Raw genomic sequence first — 26,668 nt, forward strand, 5'->3', positions numbered from 1 at the left:
TAGGTCCCATGGGGCTCAGCCCAGGACTACCTCGGGGGGTGAGGGACTTAAATCGTCTCCTTCATTCTCATCACCCCTTCCCCCATCATTTCCTGAGGAAGGACATTCAGGGACCTGAAGGGGTGGCCTGCCCCTCCACACCTGTGGGTGTTTCCCATCAGCTGGGACAAGAGACTGAGAAAAGAAAGAGACACAGAGACAAAGTATAGAGAAAGAAAAGTGGGCCCAGGGGACCTGCGCTCAGCATACGGAGGCCCCACGCTGGCACCAGTCTCTGAGTTCCCTAGTATTTATTGATCATTATCTCTACCATCTCAGAGAGGGGGATGTGGCAGGACAATAGGGTAATAGTGGGGAGAGGGTCAGCAGGAAAACACGTGAACAAATGTCTCTGTGTCATAAACAAGGTTAAGAAAAAGGTGCTATGCTTTGATGTGCATATACATAAACATCTCAATGCATTAAAGAGCAGTATTGCCACCAGCATGTCCCATCTCCAGCCCTAAGGCAGTTTTCTCCTATCTCAGCAGATGGAATATACAATCAACACTGAGACATTCCTTTGCCCAGGGACGATCAGGAGAGAGATGCCTTCCTCTTATCTCAACTGCAAAGAGGCCTTCCTCTTTTACTAATCCTCCTCAGCACAGACCCTTTACAGGTGTCGGGCTGGGGGACGGTCAGGTCTTTCCCTTCCCACGAGGCCATATTTCAGACTGTCACCTGGGGAGAAACCTTGGACGATACCTGGCTTTCCTAGGCAGAGGTCCCTGCGGCCTTCTGCAGTGTTTTGTGTCCCTGCTTACTTGAGATTAGGGAGTGGTGATGACTCTTAACAAGCATGCTGCCTTCAAGCATTTGTTTAACAAAGCACATCCTGCACAGCCCTGAATCCATTAAACCTTGAGTCGACACAGTACATGTTTCTGTGAGCACAGGGTTGGGGCTAGGGTTACAGATTAACGGCATCTCAAGGCAAAAGAATTTTTCTTACTACACAACAAAATGGAGCCTCTTACGTCTACTTCTTTCTACATAGACACAGTAACAGTCTGATATCTCTTTCTTTTCCCCACAGGGACCTTCCTGGCTGTGCCTCGGGTCAGGACCAGAATGACACCCATTCATTTCCCTGGGCCTTTGCTCCGGTGGTCCCTGCACCCTGGCCTCTGCCTGACGAGGATGGTGGGGAGAGGAGGGGGGACGTCCCCCACACTGCTGTCTCCACTGTTCCTGCTGCCCAGGCCTCTGGGCTTCCAGGACTGCAGCGGGTGGGTGGGTGGGCTGGCCTGAGCCCAGGAATGCACTTCAGTTCCTGGTTGAGCAATGTCACTGAGGCTTGGGAGTCGGGTGGGGGCGGGAGGAGGCGTCCGCAGGCCCCCCTACCGTGAGAGGCAGCCGTGGGAACAGCCTACCTCTAAACAATCACTGCAGCCCAGGCTGACCAGGGGCTCTGGCCGGACATAGGGGCCTGGCAGGCTGTGTGCCCTGTAAGGACACAGTCTGTCTCTGTGCCTCAGTTTCTCTGCTGCCCAGATGGAGGGGCCCAGACTCCAGGTGTACACATCTGGAGCAGGCAGTGTTCAGTTGGGGAGGAAGCGGGGAGGACTGTGGGGGCCATGTGGGAAGGATTCCACCCCACATCACCTGCACCCCTGCTGAGCCTGGTCAACGGAGCCCCTCAGTGGGTCCTCACTCCCCTGGTTGCCTCCCATTTAGGCACCCTGAGGCCTGGGGAGAACAGAGCCAGGCCAGTGTCCCCAGAGAGGCTGCGCTGCCAGCACAGTAGTAGCGGATTTGGATTCAGAGAAGCAGACCTGCAGCCAGGGTGGGAAAGAGCTGCAGGTGGGGTGGGGCCCCCACATGGCACAGCCCCCCTCCCTGGAGGTCCATGCTGCATTTCCAGGACAGCAAGTCCCAGGGATGGATGGTGCCTGGTGCCAAGGGCTAGAGGCATGGTCTGTCTGCATTTCCCATGTAAGTGTCTCATAGTCACCAGCATTTGATGCTGTCAAGACCCCCTGTCCTCTGTGCAGACTGGGAAGCCCTTGGTCACCCTGGGGGGGTTGGGGGACCCAGGCCAGGCTGCAGAAACATAAGGACTTGAACCCGGGTCCTGAGTGACACCACCTTGGGTCCTCCTCCTTCTGCCTCTGTTCAGCTCCACCTTGATGCTGACTAGGCTGGGCCATGCGGAGAGGGTTAGGGGATAGAGATGGGAGCTGGGGAGCAGGGCTCCACTCTGGGAGGGGGGCAGCCTTGCCGGATCCAGGGCAGAGTTAAGCGGCCCCAGCTCTGCTTTCCCAGAGCTGCTGAGAACCTGGGGAATGGTGTGGAGGTTCCAGGGAGCCCTGCCCCTACCTGGCAACCGCAGTGCAGCACGCACCAAGTTCTCCTGCACATTGCGACAGTGTGACCATGGGCTCTGGCGGGCAGTAGGTGGGGCCTTTGGACCTACCAGCAGTGAGGGAGTTAACACAGCAGCTGACTTCTCTAGGCAAAGAAAACTCCCCTCAGACGCTTTGCTGCCTGGCCTCCTGCCAGGAACAAGCAGGAGCTGAAAACTAGAAGTTGAGGCATGAGTTTCGCCACTCCGTAGTGTGCACTTGGTGAGGGCAGCAGCTCGCCACAGCTGCCAGCCATCTGTCCATTCACCCATCTGTCCATCTGGCAGCCCGCTGTTCAGACCCGTCTGTCTGTCCGCCCATCTGTAAGCCCATCTCTGTCCCATTGTCTATCTGACCATCTTTCTCTTACTGTCCTCTTTGTCTAGCTATCTGGCCTGTCTGTCGATCCATCTTCGTGTCTGTCTTCAGCCCCCACCTGTTTGTCCATCTGTCCAATTACCTGTGAGTCTATCTATGCATCTTCTTGTCCATTCATCTGCCCACCCATCTGTCCCTCCGTCTGCCCACCGGCCTCCCCTCTCCTTCTGGGCCGCAGAGCCATGGCCCAGGACTACGGAGCCATGGGTGACCTGGTCCTGCTGGGGCTGGGGCTGGGGCTGGCGCTGGCTGTCATTGTGCTGGCTGTGGTCCTCTCTCGACACCAGGCCCCATTTGACCCCCGGCCTTTGCCCACGCCGCTGTTGCTGCTGACTCCAAGGTCTTCTCAAATATTGTACGGTGAGTGAGACGTGGGAGGAAGCTGGGTGGCCTTTGGCAGCCAGCCCCTCCTGGAGAAGGCGTGTGTGTGTGAGCATGTGTGTGTGTGAGAGATTATGTGTGAGTGTGTGTGGGTATATGTGTGAGTGTGTTTGTGGGGTGTGGGTGTGTGTGAATGTGTGTGATCGTGTTTGGGTGTGTGTATGTGTGAGTGTGGGTGTGTGTGAATGTGTGTGATTGTGTTTGTGTATGTGTGTGTGGGTGTGTGTGAGTATATGTGAGTGTGAGTGTGTGGGGGTGTGGGTGGGTGTGAATGTGTGTGATTGTGTTTCGCTGTGTGAGGGTGTGTGTGACTGTGAGTGTGTGAGTGTGGGTGTGTGGGTGTGTGTAAATGTGTGAGTGTGAGTATGGGGGGGTGGGTATGTGTGAATGTGTGTGATTGTGTGTGGGTATATTTGTGGGGGTGTGTGTGTGTGTGCACGTGTGTGTGTGTGCACGTGCACTGGCCCAGGAAGCAGGAGCCGTGTGTGTGGGCTTCAGCACCTGCAGGGCTTGAGCGCAAGGAGACAGCCTCAGGGCCCTTGCACAGAACAGGCGGCAGGGTGTGCCCGTGGGGCAGATGGGGACTTGGGGACAATGGTGGTGTGTGAGTCCATACCTGGCTCCAGGATTCAGGAGGCCCATTTGCATATCCCAGGTGGGAACCTGTCTGGCCCCGCCTGACCCTGCTGGCCGGCGCAGGCCCCTTCAGTGAGGCCAATTCTCCAAGGCTGCGGTCTTCTCCCAGGGTCATGGGTGAAGGGGTTTGGAGGCTCCCTGCGTGGGTACTGGCCTGCTGGGGTACACACAATGCTGCCATAGCCAGTCTGCCCCTACACCCAGCCCGGGGCCACATCTCAGGTCTCTCAGTCCTGAGGAGCCCGGTGCCCCACCCCTCACATCCTCTCTCCCTGAGTCAGGGCCTGGGTCTCGTGAGCTGAGTGACTGATACTTGGTGTCCTGGATGAGGGCGTGGTGGAGAGGGGCCACAGCGGGTGTTTCCTGACCCTCTTCCAGGAAGGTGCTGCTGCCGCTGCAGGGAGGACACACACAGGATGCCCCTTCTTGCCCCCTGCCTCCCATTGGGCCCACAAAAGCCAGGGCAAGCCTCCCCTCCCTGCCAGCCACCTGGTCTGCTTCCCAGAAATTCTGTCTTGCAGGCTGTTGGGAGGATCCCAGTACTTTGTAAACTAAAGCAAGGGAGGAGTGGCCGTTCTCTCTCTTTGTTCATTCATTCACCTTTTCATTCATTCCTTCTTCCCTCCATTCCCCCATCTGTGCATCCTTCCCTGCCCTGATTGCTCATGCCACCCCCCCAGCCCCTCCTGACCTGGTCCTTTGGTTTCTCTTCAGGGCTTTCTGTCTCCTCCCACAGGGCTGAGAATGGCAGCTCAGGGACAAGTGGGGGCTGGGGACTGCTTAGTCTCCCCAGTGGCTCTCAGGGGATTTGAGGGTTTGACGCCAGCTGCCACCCCAGGCTGTGCCCCTCCTCTGCTCGGGAGGACATACAGAGATGCGACACCCACTTAAACTCGAAGTTGCAAAGATGCAAATGAGACTGGGGTCTCAGGCACCAGAGACCACCCGTGGGCACGTGGCTTTTGGGAGTGGGGACCTGCTGCCACAGATCTCTGAAGAGTCTGGACCTGCTGGGTCTCCCCGAGTGACTGTCTGGGGGTCTCCATAGCATGCCCTGCTGTGTGCGTGACGGTCACTGGTTGGGTAGGGGTCTCTACTCTAAAGCTCCCTCTGCCGGCATCCCCTCGAACTCTCCCTTGGTGAAGAGAGGATGTGGTTTGCCCCAGTGTTTCATCAAACAACTCTCTCCACTTCCAGTTTTAAGAAGCTGGGAGTGGAAGAGAGCCTGGGGCTGGCCCCAGCTGCTGCTGTGAAACAGGGGTCACTGGACGCTGGGACCCTGGCCGGGCTGGCTGGAGGCCTCAGGAAGAGGCCTGCTACAGCGTCATCCTGGCCAAGATTCCTCCCTGCAGAGGACCCTGGCCACGCTGCCACAGGGTCTGCTGGGGCCACCAGAAGCCCATGCTCCTGCCTCCATCTCTCCCCTCTGTGCTCACCTCTCACCAGGAGGCCCTCCCAGAGTTCAGTGTCCTGCTTTTTTTTTTTTTTTTGTGACGGTGTCTCACTCTGTCACCAGGCTGGAGTGCAGTGGCGCGATCTCAGCTTACTGCAACCTCTGCTTCCTCGGTTCAAATGATTCTCCTGCCTCAGCCTCCTGAGTAGCTGGGACTACAGGTGCCAGCCACCACGCCCCGCTAATTTCTGTATTTTTAGTAGAGACAGGGTTTCACCGTGTTGGCCAGGATGGTCTCTATCTCTTGATTCACCCGCCTTGGCCACCCAAAGTGCTGGCATTACAGGAGTGAGTCATGGCACCCGGCCTCATCTCCTACTCTTTCAGCACCAGGTTTTATTCTTGGGATTCTGCTACAGCCGGAGCCCCTGGGTGCGAGTTCCTAAGGTTTCTGTGAGTGTGGACCCAGCACCGTGCCTAGTAGACATACAAAAGGAGCATGGTGACAGTGAGGTCTGTCATCTCCAGCATAATGACTGTTTTGATCCTTGTAAAAAAGGTGATTTTTGGCTGGGTGTGGTGGCTCACACCTGTAATCCCAGCACTTTGGGAGGCCGAGGGGGGTGGCTCACTTGAGGTCAGGAGTTGGAGACCAGCCTGGGCAACATGGTGAAACCATGTCTCTACTAAAAATACAAAAATTAGCTGGGCATGGTAGCAGGTGCCTGTAATCCCAGATACTTGGGAGGCTGAGACAGGAGAATCACTTGAACGCAGGAGGCAAAGGTTGCAGTAAGCCAAGATTGCACCACTGCACTCCAGCCTGGGTGACAGAGCAAGACTTGGTCTCAAAAAAAAAAAAAAAGAAAGAAAGAAAAGTTTATATTTTTGTTCTAATGGTTATCTTAATATCGTCATTCTATAATTATATGTTTTATATAATTATAATAGCTATATAAGATATAATACCCCTAGTATGTTGTTTTTTGGATATTCTACTTGCTCCTGATGGTTAATTTATGTGTCAACTTGGCTAAGCTATGGTGTCCTGTTGTTTGGTCAAATACTTGTCAATATCTTGCTGGGAGGTTATTTCATAGATGTGATTAACACTGACAGTCAATTGACTTTAAGTAAAACAGATTACCCACCATAATATGGGTGGGCCACCTCCAATCAGTTGAAGGCCTTAAGAACAAAAACTGAGGTTTCCCAGAGAAGCAGGAATTCTGCTTCAAGACTGTAACACACAAACCCTGCCTGAGTTTCTGGCCTGCTGACTGCTCTACAGATTTTAGGTTCCAGACTTCGAGATCAACTCTTACCTGAATTTATAGCCTGCTGGCTTGCCCTACAGATTTTAAAACTTGCTAGTCCCCACAATCATGTGAGCCAATTCCTAAATAAATCTCTCTCTATGTATAATCTATTGGTTTAGTTTCTCTGAAAAACTTTCACATCCAGTTTCCTGGTTGTTAAGAATTACCGAAACTAGCTAGTAACTTCTTTTTTTTTTTTTTTTTTTTGAGACAGAGTTTTGCTCTTGTTGCCCAGGCTGGAATGCAATGGCACAATCTCAGCTCACCGCAACCTCCACTTCCTGGGTCCAAGCAATTCTCCTCCCTCAGCCTCCTGAGTAGCTGGGATTACAGGCATGTGCCACCATGCTTGGCTAATTTTTGTATTTTTAGTAGAGACAGGGCTTCTCCATGTTGGTCAGGCTGGTCTTGAACTCCCAACCTCAGGTGATCCGCCGCCTTGGCCTCACAAAGTGCTGGAATTACAGGCACGAGCCATTGCGCCTGGCTCCTAGTAAATTCTTCTTTTCTGTGATGTGTCTCTTACCTCTAATAATACTTTTCTTCTTAAAGTCTACTTCATTAAAAATAGTTATGCTGGGCATGGTGGCTCATGGCTGTAATCTTGGCACTTTGCTGGAGGTCGAGGTGGGTGGATCACTGAAGCCCAGGAGTTCAAGACCAACCTGGGCAACATGGCGAGACCCTGCCTCTACAAAAAATACAAAAATTAGCTGGGTGTGGCTAATATAATTCTAAGTTGGCACACTTGTAGTCCCAGCTACTTGGGATGCTGAGGTGGGAGAATCGCTTGAGCCTAGAAGGGAGAGATTGCTGTAAGCCAAGATCACATTACTGCACTCCAGCCTGGGAGACAGAGTGAGGCTCTATCTCCAAAAAAAAAAAAAAAAAAAAAAAAAAGTTATACAGCTTTCTTGGTTAGTACATGCATGACATATTTTTCATGATCTTCCACCTCTCTGTATCCTTATATAAAAGGCATTAGTTGGGTTTTACTTTATTTTCAATTATTTTAATTTTTATTGTCCTTTTAAATGTAACTAATGATTTATTTGGGTTGAAACCCACCACCAATTTGTTTTCCATGCCTATTCTATTTCTTCTTATCTCCTCTCACATCTTGTTTTGGATTTATTATTTTTATTATTTAATTTCCTCCTTCTCTATTAGTTTCATAACTGTGCAGTCTTAGAGTTCTTTTAAAAGATGACTGGATTATTTTAGAGCTTACAACACGCATCCTTCACTTATCAAAGTCTAACATGAGCTAGTACTTTTTGTTGTGGTTGAGATAGAGAGAGTCTTCCTCTGCTGCCCAGGCTGGAGTGCAGTGGAGCAATCTTGGTTCACTGCAACCTCCACTTCTTGGGTTCAAGCAATTCTCCTGCCTCAGTCACCTGAGTAGCTGGGACCACAGGTGTGCACCACTATGCCCGGCCAATTTTTGTATTCTTTTTCAGTAGAGACAGGGTTTCACCATGTTGGCCAGGCTGGTCTTGAACTCCTGACCTTAAGAGATCTGCCTACCTCGGCATCCTAAAGTGTTGGGATTACAGGCGTGAGCCACCGCACCCAGCCTATGAGTTAGTACTTCTATCCTCTTCCTAGTCAGTACAAGAACCTTGGAACAGGAACTAAATTTACCCCCAGTGACTTATATGCTAATATTTTTGTGTATTTTAAATATGTGTGTGTGCATAGATGTATCTGTGTGTTTTTTGTGTTTTTATTCTTATTTATGTTGAGAGTGTAGAGCTATGTAAGAGTAAAGAGAATTGTGTAATGAAGCCCCGAGTATCCATTCAATTTCAACAACAATCTTATGGCCAAGCTCATTTCATGTATACTCTTTCCTGCTTCCCTCTACCCCACATTATTTCAGTGCAAATCCCAGATATATAACTGTACCCATACATATTTCAGTATGTTTTATTTCTTTTAAACCCCACAAGATATCATTTTCTATACTACTGTAATTTTATACCAATAACATTCATTTAGATTTACCCACATGTTTACCCTACCCTCCGGGTCCTGTTTGAAAATCAAGCCCATGCTCACAGGCCAATTTTTTTTTCTTTTAGAGACAGGGTCTCACTTTGTCACCCAAGCTGGAGTGCAGTGGTGCGATTATAGCTCAATGCAGCCTCCAATTCCTGGACTCAAGGGACCCTCCTGCCTCAGCCTGCCAAGTAGCTTGGACTATAGCTGTGTGTTTTCTTATTATTTTGTAGACATGGGGTCTGGCTATGTTGTCCAGGCTATTCTCAAAATTCCCGGCCTCGAGCAATCCTCCTGCCTCGGCCTCTCAAAGGTTGGGATTACAGGTGTGAGGCAAGGCACCCAGCTCAGCCACAGAGCCCTGTTGCTTCTCTCTTACTAGGAGCAAGAGCTGACTGCCCCCTCATCCCCATTCCAGAGTGTTGGGGCTGTGTTGAGCCGAGGCCGGGCCACTGGCATGGCCCAGGGAACGGGATCATTCACTGCTGCCCCAAATCTGAGATCATTCCACCTTGACAAGACTTCCTCATCCAATCCCTTTACTTGACAGCTGGGGAAACCAACGCGCACAGAGCACCCCAGCTCACTCGGGGTCTCAGAGCTGATCCATGAGCAGAGGCTGAGATCCTGGGATCTTGTCCCCCAGCCGCCCTGCAAGCTTACTCCCTTTCTGCTGGAAGAGATGGGGCCGGACCTCGACCAGCAGCCCTGGCCTGGACATGACTGTGCTCACCCAGGTATTGAGGCCGAGATGCCCCGGCATCATATGTTTTTCTCTTTTTTTTTCTTTTTTTTTGAGACAGTATCTCACTCTGTCACCCAAGCTGGAGTGCAGTGGCATGATATTGGCTCACTGCAACCTCTGCCTCCCGGTTAAAGTGATTCTCCTGCCTCAGTCTTCCAAGTAGCTGGGCCTACAGGCTTGTACCACCACGCCTGACTAATTTTTGTATTTTTACTAGAGACAGGGTTTCCCCATGTTGGCCAGGCTCGTGTCGAACTCCTGACCTCAGGTGATCCACCTGCCTTGGCCTCCCAAAGTGCTAGGATTACAGGCATGAGCCATGGCGTCACTTAAACGTAGTGAGAGGCCGGGCAAGGGGCTCATGCCTGTAATCCCAGTGCTTTGAGAGGACGAGGCTGTCAGATCACCTAAGGTCAGGAGTTCGAGACCAGCCTGGCCAACATGGTGAAACTGTGTCTCTACAAAAAAATAGAAAAAAAAAATCCCTGCGTGGTGGCAAGTATCTGTAGTCCCAGTTACTCAGGAGTCTGAGGCATGAGAATTGCTTAAACCTCGGAGGCGGAGGCTGCAGTGAGCTGAGATGGTGCCACTGCACTCCAGCCTGGGTGACAGAGCAAGACTTTGTCTCTAAATAATTAAATAAATAAATATGGCCGAGCATGGTGCCTTAGGCCTGTAATCCCAACACTTTGGGAGGCTGAGGCAGGTGGTTCATGAGGTCAGGAGCCCGAGACCAGCCTGGCCAAGATGGTGAAACACTGTCTCTACTAAAAATACAAAAATTAGCCAGCTGTGGTGGCAGGCACCTGTAATCCCAGCTACTTGGGACACTGAGGCAGGAGAATCGCTTGAACCTGGAAGGCAGAGGTTGCAATGAGCCGAGATTGCACCACTGCACTCTAGCCTGGGCGATGGAGCAAGACTCCATCTCAAATAAATAAATTAATAAATACAGAGCAAGATTCCATCTCAAATAAATAAATAAATGTACACCTGCAATCCTAGCACTTTGGGAGGCTAAGACAGGTCGATCACCTGAGGTCAGGAGTTCGAGACCAGCCTGACCAATATGGCAAAACTCCATCTCTACTAAAAATACAAAAATTAGCCGGGCGTTTTGACGTGTGCCTGTAGTCCCAGCTACTTGGGAGGCTGAGACAAGAGAATTGCTTGAACCCAAGAGGTGGAGGTTGCAGTGAGCCGAGATCTCGGCTGCACTTCAGCCTGGGTGACAGAGTGAGACTCTGTCTCAAAAGGAATAAATAAAATACAAAGTAAAAAAAAATGTAGTAAGATTGCAGAGTCGTGCCGCAGAAGCGTGCTGGTCCTATCCATGTAGTGAAGGCTGATTTCATACACAAATGTCAGAAGAACTTTTCTTTTCTTTTTCTTTTTTTTTTTTTTTTTTGAGACGGAGTCTTGCTCTGTCACCCAGGCTGGAGTGCAGTGGTGCGATCTAGGCTCACTGCAAGCTCTGCCTCCCGGGTTTATGCCATTCTCCTGCCTCAGCCTCCTGAGTAGCTGGGACTACAGGCGCCTGCCACCTAGCCCAGCTAATTTTTTTGTACTTTTAGAGGAGATGGGGTTTCACCGCGTTAGCCAGGATAGTCTCAATCTCCTGACCTCGTGATCCGCCCGTCTCGGCCTCCCAAAGTGCTGGGATTACAGGCATGAGCCACCACACCCGGCCTTCTTATATGCTTTTATTGCATTTGAGCGTACCTCTTTTACAGCGAAGATCTTTTTTTTTAATTTTATTTTATTTTTAGAGATGGAGTCTTGCTTTGTTGCCCAGGCTGGAGCACTGTGGTGTGATCATAGCTCACTGCAGCCTTGAACTCCCGGGCACAGGTGATCCTCCCACCTCAGCCTCCTGAATAGCTGGGACTACAGGCATGCACCACCATGCCTGGCATATTTTAAAGATGTTTGTAGAGATGAGGTCTCGCTATGTTGCCAGGCTTGTCTCAAACTACTGGGCTCAAGCCATCCATCCATTTCAGCCTCCCAAAGTGCTTGGATTATAGGCATGAGCACTGCGCCTGGCCATCACACTGTTTTTTTGTTTGTTTGTTTGTTTGTTTGTTTGTTTTGAGATGGAGTCTTGCTCTGTCGCCCAGGCTGGAGTGCAGTAGTGGGATCTCGCCTCATTGCAAGCTCCGCCTTGTGGGTTCACGCCATTCTCCTGCCTCAGCCTCCTGAGTAGCTGGGATTACAGGCGCCCGCCACCACGCCTGGCTAATTTTTTGTATTTTTAGTAGAGACGGGATTTCACCGTGTTAGCCAGGATGGTCTCGATCTCCTGACCGTGATCTGCCCGCCTCGGCCTCTCAAAGTGCTGGGATTACAGGCATGAGCCAATAAATATTTTTATAATCATTAACTACCGAGGAGAAGCTGGAGAGAAAAAAGGTGGATGAAGTTAAGGCAGAGAGACTTTGTAAGTTTCTTAGCTGAGCTTTTGGAGACTGTATATCAGAGATCCTATTTGAGGTGATTTTCGGCTACAGAGATAGGCCTGGTCATTTGAAAAATAACGGATTAGGTGAAGCTTGCGTTTGAAATCCTCCTTCTACTTCTCATCTTTCTCTCTTGTTTATTCTGAACATCCATCTTAGACACCCAATCTTTGTCACTTTGTGGTTGTCATTGATTTCCCTGTTATTGAGATCAGAGGTTGGCAGACTTTCTCTGTAAAGGGCTGGAGAGAAAGTACTTCAGACTTTGTGGTCTGTGCGGTGTCTGTTGCAACCACTTAACTCTGCCCTGTAGAGCAAAAGCAGCCGCAGACAGTACATGGGCAGATGAGCATGGCTGGGGTCCAGTTACATTTACTTGCAAAAAGAGGGTTGGAGACTGGGTGCGATCTCCCACCTTTAATCCCGGCACTTTGGGAGGCCGAGGCAGGAGGATCACTTCAAGCCAGGAGTTCAAGACCAGCCTGGGCAACAAAGCAAGACTCCATCTCTACAAAAAAATAAAAATTATTATAGCTAGGCATGGTGGTACACACCCGTAGTCCTAGCTACTCAGGAAGCTAAAACTGAGGCAGGAGGGTCAGTTGAGCCCAGGAGCACGAGGCTGTGGTGAGCTATTATTGTGCCAGTGCACTCCAGCCTGGTGACAGAGCAAGAACGGTCTCATCAAAAAATAAACAAAAGGCTGGGCACGGTGGCTCACGCCTGTAATCCCTGCACTTTGGGAGACTGAGGTGGGCAGATCATGAGGTCAGGAGATTGAGACCATCCTGGCTAACACGGTGAAACCCTGTCTCTACTAAAAATACAAAAAGTTAGCCGGGCGTGGTGGCGGGCGCCTGTAGTCCCAGCCACTCGGGAGGCTGAGGAGGGAGAATCGTTTGAACCTGGGAGGCGGAGGTTGCAGTGAGCCAAGGTTGTGCCACTGCACTCTAGCCTGGGCTACAGGGCAAGACTCCATTAAAAAAAAAAAAAAAAAAACCAGCAAAAACCAAACAAAACATAATGCATGTTCTCTCTTATAAATGGGAGCTAAACATGGGGACTCATTGACTTAAAGATGGCAACAACTGGGAACTGCTGGATGGGGAGGGAGGGGAGGGGTGAAAGGCCAACTGTTGGGGAGTATGCTCATATCCACGTGACAAACCTGCACATGTGCCCGCTGAATCTAAAATAAAAGTTGAAAGTAGATTTAAAAAACCCCAAGAGGGCTGGGTTTGGCTTGTGTGTCCATAGCTTGTTAACCTCCGCTTTAGATATTAACTAATAGAAACATAGTGCTTAACTTCCCAGGCCACCTATTTTGTTCCTCTCCAAGGTGATGGATAGATGAAGGCCTAATCCAGCCGCCTGGAAGTTTGCTGACGCTTGTCCTGTCACGGATTAATGAAGCATTGTTTTCTGATGAAGGTTTCATGCCGCTGTGCTGATGTGTCTTCTCTTCTCTCTAGGCAGGAAACTGCATATCTTCTGGTTTACATGAAGATGGAGTGCTAATGGAAATGCCCAAAACCTTCAGAGATTGACACGCTGTCATTTTCCATTTCCGTTCCTGGATCTACGGAGTCTTCTAAGAGATTTTGCAATGAGGAGAAGCATTGTTTTCAAACTATATAACTGAGCCTTATTTATAATTAGGGATATTATCAAAATATGTAACCATGAGGCCCCTCAGGTCCTGATCAGTCAGAATGGATGCTTTCACCAGCAGACCCGGCCATGTGGCTGCTCGGTCCTGGGTGCTCGCTGCTGTGCGAGACATTAGCCCTTTAGTTATGAGCCTGTGGGAACTTCAGGGGTTCCCAGTGGGGAGAGCAGTGGCAGTGGGAGGCATCTGGGGGCCAAAGGTCAGTGGCAGGGGGTATTTCAGTATTATACAACTGCTGTGACCAGACTTGTATACTGGCTGAATATCAGTGCTGTTTGTAATTTTTCACTTTGAGAACCAACATTAATTCCATATGAATCAAGTGTTTTGTAACTGCTATTCATTTATTCAGCAAATATTTATTGATCATCTCTTCTCCATAAGATAGTGTGATAAACACAGTCATGAATAAAGTTATTTTCCACAAAAGGACTTTGCAGTTTTAACGGGGGGCAGTAGGGCTTGTGTTATAGAAATTCAAAGGCAAGGGAAGTCACTTCTGTTGTGGGGCCCTGGGAGGAGCCTCCAGGCTGGAAAGGGTTAAGGTGGAGGTCTCCGATAGGGGCAGCGTACACAGTGGACTGGCTGCAAAAGGCCGTGCTCAGCATTCAGACAGCATCACACACTCTGCTTTTCTCTACCAGGGAGGCAGGTGGGGAAGGATAGCGATGGGAAGGCAGGCGGAGCTCAGAATGTGGAAGGGGATCCAGTAAGGCTTGGAAGTTTGCACCTGATCTGGTGGGTGGTGAGGAGCCCTTGAAGGGGCAAGGAGGCGAGGAGCACTCAGCTGTGTTCTTACACTGATCTGCCACTGGGGTTAGAGACAAACGTGGTGGGAATGGAAAGCCACGCACAGTCACTAGCGCCTCTGGGGGGAGAATGGATGTGGCTGGTGAGAGAACAGGGGGGCCCAGGGAGAGTCCGGCACCAACCTGGGCGGGGGAGCCCAGTGGGTGTGAGCACCCCCACTTTAGAGATGAAGTGATGGAGACATTCAGATGTTTAACCCCTTGTTCAAGATTCCATACTTGATAAATGGCAGATCAAACTCCCAACATAAAATGTGGGTCATTTCTTTATTATTTTATTTGTATTGGTTAACAATGATCAGCCATGCAAGAATAAATGATTATTGTAAAATCTGCAAACAATGTAGATATGTAGAGAGTCCCTTCCTTGGAGCTTGACCTTGTCAGACAGGTATAGATGAGTGTTCCGGGGCAGCCGTAAAAACTGCCAGAGACTGGGCTGCTTATAACAGAAACGCATGGTCTCCCAGAAGCCCACATTCAAGGTGTCCAAAGGCCTGGCTCCTGGAGGCTCTGGAGGAGAGCCTGTTCCCTGTCTCTCAGCTTCTGCCGGTTGCCAGCAAGTGTTGCCGTTCATTCACTCCAGCCACTGCCTCCATCTGCACACAGCAAAACAGCGTATCCTGAAGTGCTCAACCTTATAGCCATTATTTTAAAATATCCGGAACACACAGGACCGTGGGAGTGGCTGTTGGAGAAATTTTCATGAAGGAAGAAAGATTACAACTAAGTTTTAAAATGCTAGTTTTGTTTGTTTTGTCTTGGAGAGGAGGTCAAAGTGGGAGTAAAAATAGGGAGTTTGGTGTAAGGTGGGAAAAGCAAAGGAACCCCGCATGGATGGGCTGAAGGGTGTGATGGGAGAACAGTGAGAAGTACGTTTGGGGAAGCAATTGGAAATAGTAGCTAAGCTTAATCACAATCTATCAAAAGGGACTTGTTGAAGAATTAATGTGTGACTAGGAACAGGGAGGTTATGGGCTTGTCAGCTCGACAGCGGGCACTCAGTTCCACTAATGAATGATGCCCGTGTGGACAGACAGAATGATGGACAGGCAGATGAATGCGTGGGCTTTATGTGAAACAGGTCCTCTTGGTTGTTGACAAGATACTGTTTTAAAGTTCCATTTTGCCATACTTCGAACAGCTTGTCATTAGCTCAATTTAGCCACATGTAAAATCACTAAGGCGGACTTCCAGAGTTCCCACATGAAAATCAAATGTAAACCAGCAGTGACCTGCTTCAACACCATCATCGGAAGTCAGAAGTTGAACTCTTTTTTGATGTTTAAAGCCTGCATAATATTCGCTGTATTATTATTCAGCATATTACTATTTCCTTCGTGATGGAAATTTGGTTTATCCCAATTTTCTATTCCATCAAAACACCGCTACATAGAAAATCCCCATGCACATATTTCTCCTAATTGTGGAAATATTTTACATAAAAGACTCTAGACATGGGATGAAATTCCCAGGTTATTGGAATTTTAAAATAGATAGGTACTTCCAAATTGACCTCTTACAAATTATATGAATTCGTAAGCTTCCAACTGTTATGGAGTTACCCATTTTGAGAAATCTGTGCTAAAAGGACCCAAACAATGCTGATGACAATGATCAGGATAATAAGTACGCTGGGAAGACAACAAAATGATTTAGATCTTAGACAAGTCATTCTAGGTGTCTCCACTGTTTCAGTTCTTGCGTTCGTTCATTCTTGTGCTTTTTCGTTTTACCAAATAAAATAGCTCCTTGATGTCATAGGAATCCACGCTATGCTTAATGAGTATTGGTTAGTAAAATGCCTATAACTAGTAATCTTCATCTATGCAATTAAATATTAATTCATAAAACACTTCAAATGTAAACAATAATTAGTAAATGAAAAGTACATAATACCTCAATTAGAAAAAAATCACTCCATTAAAAAGACATTATTTGTGTGATAAAAGAGATTGCCATTTTTGTATTTTTCTACAAGGTTAAAGAAAACTAAGTCAACTTATACAAGTGAATTTTAAAAGACTTTAGGGCAGGCGTGGTGGCTCACGCCTGTAATCCCAGCACTTTAAGAGGCCGAGGAGGGCAGATCACCTGAGGTCAGGAGTTCGAAACCAGCCTGACCAACATGGTGAAATCTCATTTCTACTAAAAATACAAAAAAATTAGCCCAGTGTGGTGGCATGTGCCTATAATCTCAGCTACTTGGGAGGCTGAGACAGGAGAATAGTTTGAACCTGGGAGGCGGAGGTTGCAATGAACCAGGATCGCACCATTGCACTCCAGCTTGGGCAACAAGAGTGAAACCCCATCTCAAAAATAAATAAATAAATAAATAAAATAAATAAAAGCCTTTAACCCAGAATGCTGAGTAAATTGGCCAAAAATGCTAACCTATGCATTTCAATACTATAGGAGTCGCATGGGTAGAAATAACCAGATGAAATACTTCTGGTATTTCACCTTCCCAACCCACACGAGCCAGTGTTTTTCTGTGAATAACAAAAACAGCAGAATTTACTTGCCTCTCCATAAGAGGTTACCACTTCTGTGTGTTCCCCCGAAACAGGTGGTGGCTGGGTGAGAAGGTGGACAGCACTAGGGCAGGAGATGGGGGCTCCAGTATCGTGGGTGAGCTTCCTAAACCTCTGCAACTTTCAGCCCCTAAATGGGATGAGCCATCAGAATTTTTAGCACAATGCCCAGAACAAAGTAAGGATTTGACAAATGACGCCTCTCTCCACATTGTTCTGTCATCAGCCACCGCATCCTGTACCTCCAAGCCCACTGGGCTCCGGCTGTTTCCATCACATGGAGAATGACTCAGAGCCTGGCCTCCAGCCACCCTCCTGGCCTTTCTTCTTCTCACTCTGCCACTGGCTCCTCATGGACCACCAGCCTGGGTGTCCTCAGACATACCACACACTTCACTGTGGGAGTCACGCAGCCCTCACTGCTCCTTCGCCAGGGAGCCACGGGGCTTTCCTCCTCAGGAGGACTCTGCAAGCAGCTGGATGAAGGGCCCTCCCGTCTCTCATCCTTCCTTAATTTTTGTCACAGTTCTCCTTCCTTCCACTCAGTGCAGCGCACACTGATTGATCCTCCATCTTCCCCAAAAGACAGGAACAGCATGAGCAGTGGAGAGTAGATTCCAATGATAGAAAAAATAGTCAGTGATTTCTCATTTCCATTGATCATCAATGAAGAAAATGTATCCTGAAGGTCATGTACCTCCTATGGGACTGCTGCATCCTCAGCCTCCTGAATTTCAGCCCAGCACCTTCCTCCCCAGCACAGCAACAGGTCAGCCCTTACCAGCATCCCTCTCTTATTGCCTTTGTGCAGAGCCAGCACCAGGGCCAGGGGAGGCCTTGGGATTGTCCCTCCCCAACAATCTGTGAAACAATCCTTTATGTCACCAACAAAGCACAGCCTTATGCACTGGTGGTCAGTCCCTCTCAACACCTCTGTCACTGTAAAGCTGGCAGGCAACCCTCCAAGGTTGGCCTTCCCAAGCACTGCACCTCTAGGTGACAGAGCACGTCCTTACCTTGAAGCCTGGGCGCCCAGTCTATCCTGTCCAATGAGCGAGCTGTGGAGAAGGGGGGATTCCGGGTTAAGGGGAGACTAGCAGGGCTCCTGCTTTTATGTTGCCCTGTTGGGAAGGCTATTAAAGAAACACAAAGTGCTAAGCAGTGAGGATAGAACATGTTTTCATTATTTCAACCAATACATTCCACAGATGGAATAATAAGAAATGCTACAACCAAGCTAACTGAATCCAACAGCATATCAAAAAGATAATCCACCATGATTCAAGTGGGTTTCATACTAGGGATGCAGGGATGGTTTAACATACGCAAGTCAATAAATGTGATACATCACATCAATAAAACTAAAAACAAAAATCACATGATAATCTGAATAGATGCAGAAAAAGCCTTTGACAAAATCCAGCATTTCTTTATGATTAAAACCGTTCATCAAAATCAGCGTAGAACGGACATACCTTAAGGTAATAAAAGCTATCTATGACAAACCCACAGCCAACATTTTCCTGAATGGGGGAGAGTTGAAAGCATTCCCCCTGAGGAAGGGAACAAGACAAAGATGCCCACGTTCACCGCTTCTCAACACAGTGCTGTTCACTACAGCATTGGTTATAAGAGCAAGACTGGAAACAGAACAAATGGATACCCATAGCGGGGTGCTTAAGTAATTTTGGGAATAGTCATGGGGTGCAGTACTTTATAGCTCTGAAACAATACAATGGATTTACATTTGAAATGTGGAATGATAACTAAGGTGCATTGCCCAGTGATATATGCAGAGGTGCAGAGGACTTTGTGTAAACACGATCACACATCAGCCTGCATTCCAGGTGCATGCTTCTATTTGCACATAGATTGCAGGGATGATATGCAAACAAAAATGTTGACTTGGTGTTTGGAAGTTCAGAGTGGAAGGGAAACTTCCTTGCTAACCTTTTATGATATTTAGAGTTTCTAAATGTGAATACGTAATACATTTAGAAATCTTAGTTAATAAGAAAAGCCTCTGTTCCTGGCCTCTTGCTGGCACATGTCAGGTGGAAATGGGGCTGTCATGCTAATGTGTGCAAACTGAGAAAAATCCAAGAATGGGAGTCTGCTTTTTTCATCATACAAATAATTGTTAATAGAAACAGTATGATAATTGCTCATTGATATACCATGCATATTCTATTAGATAATAATAAATTTCTGAAATTTGAACTATACTTACACATGGAAATTGAAATATATGGATGAAACATTGTGGCTTATATAGGCAATTGTTTTATTGGCATTTTACAAACTGATCATCATTCCTCATGGCACGGGTCCATGTGATATTAAGTAGCTTGTTATGCTTGGGAAAGGCAGTGATGACCACAAGAATGACTTCAACTACTAAAGTACAATGGAGATTTCAACAATGTTTTGTTTAATATTTAAATATTTCATTGTGCTCCCAGGCTTTTTCTCACCCTAATAGCTCTCATCCATATCATGTGGGTCCCATTAATACAGATACCTCCGAATGCACCACTCTTCCATTATATCCAGTCAATTGCTGGTTACCTTGGGCCTACCAACTGGGGGAGGGCAGGGGCTGCTGGCCACCTCCTCATCTACAGTAAGAGTCAATGAGCAGTTAAATGGATACTGAAAACCATTTATCCTGCTGGAGTGAGAAATAAATGGTTTCTTTCAATAGCGTAGTAAAATGCATCTTTTCCAAACTATTTATATGACTCAAGGCCCATCTCAATTTCAGATGTGGTTAGCCTCAATTCCTGATTCTCACCAAGGTGTGTAATGTCATCCACGGCCCAGTGCAGAGGAACACAGGTGCTGCCGTCAGACTGCCAGGGTCCGATCCCGCCTCCTCACTCACCCCGGGAGATCCCTTTAAGCCAGGAGTCAACAGTGAGGATGGAAACATGAGTGCTTTTTAAAGTCCTGAAAGTTCAGAGGCAGACTGTCAATTTCTCCTCCACCCCTGGGCACACACCAGGAGAACTCTGTCTCCAGGTTGGAGGAAGTGCCTGTGAGAGAGTTGTGTCCCTCAGATTCTGTTCACCACAGGTGACACTCGATGCAACCCCAAACCTCTTCTGCACAATCCCAAGGGGTGCTGACTAATCCAACCCAAAGGCTGTGATGTTTGGCAGAGGCAGAAAAGAAAAGGCCAGGTGTTCTGGGAAAGACCACCTTTAAATAACACAGCACCCTCATAGCCCAGAGAGACAGTTCCAACTATTATGCCAATAAACCCGGAAAAGACCAAATCCAATATGACACATATTTCCTGTTTCGTTTTGATTTCATGCCCCCTCCCTTAACCTCCCAAGCAGCATGGATACCCCGAAGGCCCCTGGGAACTCTCTCCAATTGGATCTTACGTGGAAAGCAGTTACCTACCTACAAATCCCCATCATCAGATATGCTCTCCACAATCAAATCTTTAGAAACACAAACACCAGGATAAGTCATTAGAGAGAGGCCCACCCACTCCTCCCACCCTAGCTGAAGCCATGGTGCTTCGCACAGGATCCCCTGGTGTTTCCTCTGGGCCCACAGATATCCCTACAGCCTCTCTGGACATGGTTTTATACTTGCAAAATCATTTGCTCTCACCAGACCCCAAATCCTCCTTCCCAAAAGGAGCCCAGAATCAGGTTTCTGTACCCTAGAGATGGCGCTTTTTCCTCAGGAAGTGAGTTATTTCAGGGTACGTATCATTCTCCAGTGTCAATGGCTCCTGCAATTATAGAAAAGAAAACATTAGGAGGGTGAAATGATGCCATACACGTCACACAGATCTGATAGTCTCTCGACAACTTGAGAGAGAAAATAGGAAGGGGTATAGTGATTGAGTCAAAGGTCGAAGTCCCCCAAAACTGGCACGGAAGACACCTGTGGAAAAGACAAGACCTTTTCCCACAGAATTTATCTTTAAAGTGTATCTAGATTGGCAGTTTCACAACTCTTAATCCATGGGGGAAAACTGCTGTGGAGGGAAACACCTCTGCATTGCAGTGGATCGTGGATGCTGCCATCTACCACACCCCAGTGTGCCTGGCATGGGTTGGTGAGAGGCTGCCAATCAATAGCACCACACCAAGGGAATTGCAGATGTCATAAATAGTCCACATTGGCAGATGTTCATGTCTACATTTGATTAAACTGCAGATGACATCGATAATGCACACTGGCAGATGTTCATGTCTACATCTGATTGGAAAGAAGCCAGGAAAGTAACATTTCTGTTCAAGACAAAGAAAAGTGTCTTACATTGGCAGCATCTTCTTTTTTACAGATGTCTTGTACAGTGTCCTCATTAGCAATGTCATATACAGCGTCCTTATTAGCGAATTCGTATACAGCATCCTCATTAGCGATGCCATATACAGCGTCCTCATTAGCGATGTTGTATACAGCGTCCTCATTAGTGATGTCGTATAGAGCGTCCTCATTAGCGATGTCATATACAATGTCCTCATTAGCGATGTCATATACAGCAACCTCATTAGCTATGTCTTGTAAAGCATCCTCATTAGCGATGTCATATACAACGTCCTCATTAGCGATGTCGTATACAGCGTCCTCGTTAGCGATGTCTTGTACGGTGTCCTTATAAGCAATGTCGTCTACAGCGTCCTCGTTAGCATGCCTTGTGGGTGCCATTAGCGATGTCATATACAGCATCCTCATTGGTGATGTCTTATATGGTGTCCTCATTAGCGATGTTGTGTACAGCGTCCTCGTTAGCAATGCCTTGTACAGTGTCCTCGTTAGCGATGCCATATACAGTGTCCTCATTAGTGATGGCTTGTACACTGTCCTCATTAGTGATGTCGTGTACAGCATCCTCGTTAGCGTGCCTTGTACGGTGTCATTAGCGATGTCGTATACAGCGTCATAATTAGCGATGTCTTATACGGTGTCATCATTAGTGATGTTGTGTACAGCGTCATCGTTAGCGATGCCTTGTATGGTGTCCTCATTAGCGATGTCGTATACAGCGTGCTCACTAGCGATGTCTTTTTTTATATATATATACTTTAAGTTTTAGGGTACATGTGCACATTGTGCAGGTTAGTTACATATGTATACATGTGCCATGCTGGTGTGCTGCACCCACTAACTCATCATCTAGCATTAGGTATATCTCCCGATGCTATCCCTCCCCCCCCAACCCCACAACAGTCCCCAGAGTGTGATATTCCCCTTCCTGTGTCCATGTGATCTCATTGTTCAATTCCCATCTATGAGTGAGAATATGCGGTGTTTGGTTTTTTGTTCTTGCGATAGTTACTAGCGATGTCTTATACGCTGTCCTCATTAGCAATGTCGTGTACAGCGTCCACGTTAGCGTGCCTTGTCGGTGCCATTAGCAATGTCGTATAAAGCGCCCTCATTGGTGATGTCTTGTACAGTGCCCTCATTAGCGATGTTGTGTACAGTGTACTTGTTAGCGACGGCTTGTAGGGTGTCCTCGTTAGCGATGTCGTATACAGCTCGTTGGCGATGCCGTGGGCGGCGTCCTCTTTGGCGATGCCCTGGGCGGCGTCCTCGTTGGCGATGCCCTGGGCGGCGTCCTCGTTGGCGATGCCCTGGGCGGCATCCTCCTTGTCGATGCCCTGGACGGCGTCCTCGCTGGCGATTCCGTGGGCGCCGTCCTCGTTGGCGATGCCCTGGGCGGCGTCCTCGTTGGCGATGCCGTGGGCGGCGTCCTCTTTGGCGATGCCCTGGGCGGCGTCCTCGTTGGCGATGCCCTGGGCGGCGTCCTCCTTGGCGATGCCCTGGGCGGCGTCCTCCTTGGCGATGCCCTGGGCGGCGTCCTCCTTGGCGATGCCCTGGGCGGCGTCCTCGTTGGCGATGCCGTGGACGGCGTACTCCTTGGCGATGCCCTGGATGGCGTCCTCGTTGGCGATGCCCTGGGCGGCGTCCTCGTTGGCGATGCCCTGGGCGGCGTCCTCGTTGGCGATGCCCTGGGCGGCGTCCTCCTTGTCGATGCCCTGGGCGGCGTCCTCGCTGGCGATGCCCTGGGCGCCGTCCTCGTTGGCGATGCCCTGGGCGGCGTCCTCGTTGGCGATTCCGTGGGCGCCGTCCTCGTTGGCGATGCCCTGGGCGGCGTCCTCCTTGGCGATGCCCTGGGCGGCGTCCTCCTTGGCGATGCCCTGGGCGGCGTCCTCTTTGGCGATGCCCTGGGCGGCGTCCTCGTTGGCGATGCCCTGGGCGGCGTCCTCGCTGGCGATGCCCTGGGCGGCGTCCTCGCTGGCGATGCCCTGGGCGGCGTCCTCGCTGGCGATGCCGTGGGCGGCGTCCTCGCTGGCGATGCCGTGGGCGGCGTCCTCGCTGGCGATTCCGTGGGCGGCGTCCTCGCTGGCGATGCCGTGGGCGGCATCCTCGTTGGCGATGCCCTTGTCGGCGGCCTCGTTAGCGATGCCCTGGGCGGCGTCCTCCTTGGCGATGCCCTGGGCGGCGTCCTCTTTGGCGATGCCCTGGGCGGCGTCCTCGTTGGCGATGCCCTGGGCGGCGTCCTCCTTGGCGATGCCCTGGGCGGCGTCCTCGTTGGCGATGCCCTGGGCGGCGTCCTCGTTGGCGATGCCGTGGACGGCGTCCTCCATGGCGATGCCCTGGACGGCGTCCTCGTTGGCGATGCCCTGGGCGGCGTCCTCGCTGGCGATGCCGTGGGCGGCGTCCTCGCTGGCGATGCCGTGGGCGGCGTCCTCGCTGGCGATGCCGTGGGCGGCGTCCTCGTTGGCGATGCTGTGGGCGGCATCCTCGTTGGCGATGCCCTTGTCGGCGGCCTCGTTAGCGATGTCGTGTACAGTATCCTCGTTAGCGATGTCGTGTGTGGCGTCCTCGTTAGTGATGTCGTGTACGGTGTCCTCATGGGGAGCTAGAAAAACACAGAGTTAAGGTCAGTGCCCTGGTGGTGGAGACTGTGAATCACCCAGGGGCTTGCTTGGTGTGATGCATGGAGGTGGCTGATCACAGCATGGGTCAAGCTGATGCTGGGACATCCTCCCAGGTGGACCTGCACTAGTGAAGCTAAGGGATGTGGCTCAGAACACTTTCTGCAGTGGGAATCAGTTTCCAGGTTCAGGTATGCATTATCTGGTGAAGTGGGGAAATATAAAAAATAAAAATTGACAAATTCATGAAAAGCCTTCCATGAGTGCAAGTGTGAGTTTTTTATCCACTTTACATTCAGTATGCATTCACACATACAAAATGTTTTTACAAGAAATCAGAAATTTTAATTTTTGTCAGTTATGTGAAATCTAACTTAGCTGCCAGCATAAAGATTCTATCTCATTTACTTGGTCTCGAGAAAATCTAGCACATAGTAAGTAGACCAAAATGTTTATTAAATGAAAACACAGAGCAGAGATAGGGGGGCTGCTAGGCAGACTGGGTTGCACCTGATTACCTGGATGATAATAAACTGCACAAAACCTCGGTCAAATTAATATTGAAACTGCCTTTTGCTTGGGCTCGTTTCCCTTGCGGAAGAAGGATGACCAAGAAGATGAACAGGAAAGAAATGAGAAACAGAGGCCTTTGCTTAGTAGCTAAAGGCCACCTTCTGTAACATGAAATAGTCTACAAGTGGCCTTGAACTCTGCCGTGATTTAGTGACAGAGTTCCCTCATGTCTTCTACCCAGGTTGAAGTCCAGCAAAATTGCGACTGTCCTCTTTACAACTTGCGAGACCACACTGCTTCTGCATTTGCCTGTTGTATGTATGAGATTTACACTTGTTTTAAAGCAACATTTTGTTTCAGTTGGGCTGGTGGCCATACCCGGCACTAGCCGGTCAATAGTGAGATGGCTCCTCATGGAGGAGGCTTGGCTTGAGGCTGAGGGTCTTTAACCCACATATACAAGAGAGTTGCCACTAAGGGATGGAAGCCAGGCTAATAACCAAGTGCCACACAGAGTTCCTATCTGTCCCTCCTCACCATTTTTGGCTGGCAGGATTTGAGCATTTTAGGGCTTGGGAAGATAGTATTACTAAATCTACTAAAATACATCACCCATCCTTATAGACTTTGGCCAGTTGCTGAGCAAATTAACTTCACAACTGAAGTGGGCCACACTGGCCTTTGTGGTCCCCCACTCCTCTTAGAATTTGTGAGCGTGGGGCCTACTGGAGGGTGGGAGGTGGGAGGAGGGGGTGGATCAGGAAAAATAACTGATATTAGGCTCAATATATGGGTGATGCAATAATCTGTACAACAAACTCTCATGACACACATTTATATATGTAGCAAACCTGCACATCCTGCACATGTACCCCTGAACTTAAAAGTTAAAAAAAAAAAAAAGGATCGGTGAGCTGAGCCAAACACCTGGGGATCTTTGTGCTTTTGACACACTGATGACTATGCCTGTCCGTGGGGAGATGAACCTATAACTGCCCTGGGTTGTGTGACCACGGAGGCCACTTTATGATGATGGGCAGTGCCTGGGGCCTTTTGGGCTCGTTGCTTTAGGGTTTATACATGAATGCTGGACTCCCTGTGTGGTGGTGAACACCCCATGACTAAGTGCATGTCAGCGTCAGCACTGGCCCACACTCCTGGGTTCGTGTTTTCACTTTTTCATTCAGGAACTCGGGAGCTGGGGCCACTCCCTTGGCCCTTCAGGTTCTCCACCTGAGCAGTGGGGATAATAAGGCAGACCCGGGGATGGCTCTGGTGAGGGTGGAGGAGTCACTGTACAGAGAGAGTAGAGCGGGGGTGGATTTTATTGTTAGAAGTGGACACTGGTGATTGGGTTGTATAAGTGGGAAATCTCTCCTGAGAAAACACACAGCCTCACCTGTACAGAAACACACACATTCACACCACACGATGCAGCCTCACACAAGACACCACCAATCCTCAAGCACCCAACTCAGCACCACCCAAAAGGGAGCACAGCTGCTTCCTCAAAATTTGGCCATAATTTTTCCCTGGGGAATTCAGGTTTTAAAAAAACACTTCCCCTATACTTATTCCTATCACAATCCCAGGATCAGGGTGGCTCTTCACATTGAAACCAGGCAAGGATGCCACACCTTTCTTGGCATCCAGATTGTTTTCTCGGTAAGTGATTCCAGAATACTTACTAGATTCACGCCTCAGAGGGGCCACCTGCACCACCTGCAATACAGAAACAAAGCTTTTTGAGGGGTATGTCATGTTGTGGATTGTTTGCACAAGGCTGTGTTTCTCTCAATGAATATTGAAAACTTGATCAGAAAGTGTAGTCAACTTCAAGGCCTCCAAAACAAGGGTAGGATACACACTGGAAAAGACATCAGCTTCTGGATGGTGGATCTCTCAGGTCCACGTAGGTTGGCAAGTGCAAAATACTGAATCCAAGGAGAAGACATTGCTTCCAAGGACAAGGACCCCAAGGATACAGTCTACAACCTGAAGCCATCATAGCTAAATGCCATTTTGGATTACATATCAGTTGCTAAGAGTCACTTCTTCCTCCCCCTCAGAAAACTGCATTTAATACCTGTCATGGACATTGTCATCTTTTCACATGTAAAGTCAGTTGAAAAAGAAAGACAACAAGAAAGGAACATTTCTATTTCAGAGAAAGCAAGGCAACCTTACCCTCACGTTGACTGGCCTCTCTCCATCTCCTCTGTCCTTGTGAACTAGAGACTCCTCAGAGGCTAGGAGGACACAGAGCAACAGTTAGTCACAGATGCTTTTGTTCATGAGCTATTCAGGGAGCTCTGCTTAATGTGGACAACAGGACAGTGTGTGTGGATGTGTTTCATTAAAAGCACAGCTTGAGCTCCTGCTAGAAAATCCTCCCTCGTGGAAAGACAGGCAAGAACGAGGAGCTAAGGAGCAAGAAATAGAGTCCCTGGCATTTTGCTGATGGCAACTTAAGGCAATGGGAATGAGTCAGTCTACAAATGGTACTGAAGCACATGCTATAGTTTGATGA

The 26,668-nt window shown here is 49.0% G+C and overlaps 2 long non-coding RNA genes across 2 annotated transcripts in view; one reads left to right on the top strand and one right to left on the bottom strand.

The window, feature by feature from the left end:
• Nucleotides 1-2,484: 2,484 nt before the first annotated feature.
• On the top strand, nt 2,485-13,797 carry LOC105379548 (uncharacterized). The gene is made up of 2 exons (XR_951363.3): nt 2,485-3,125; nt 13,172-13,797. It is a non-coding gene; the product is annotated as an uncharacterized LOC105379548 (long non-coding RNA).
• Nucleotides 13,798-14,425: 628 nt separating this feature from the next.
• The window catches only part of LOC107987389 (family with sequence similarity 230-like), a 29,391-nt gene continuing 17,148 nt past the window's right edge, over nt 14,426-26,668 (bottom strand). Inside the window, exons 7-13 of the long non-coding RNA NR_166643.1 lie at nt 26,326-26,387; nt 25,827-25,860; nt 20,996-23,609; nt 20,390-20,462; nt 20,123-20,163; nt 19,506-19,660; nt 14,426-14,865 (exon numbers count right to left, since the gene is read on the bottom strand). This is a non-coding gene — a long non-coding RNA (family with sequence similarity 230-like). The remainder of the gene's footprint in view (nt 14,866-19,505; nt 19,661-20,122; nt 20,164-20,389; nt 20,463-20,995; nt 23,610-25,826; nt 25,861-26,325; nt 26,388-26,668) is intronic.

The sequence above is a fragment of the Homo sapiens genome, assembly GCF_000001405.40.
Source record: "Homo sapiens chromosome 22 unlocalized genomic scaffold, GRCh38.p14 Primary Assembly HSCHR22_UNLOCALIZED_CTG1".
Lineage (NCBI taxonomy): Eukaryota > Metazoa > Chordata > Mammalia > Primates > Hominidae > Homo > Homo sapiens.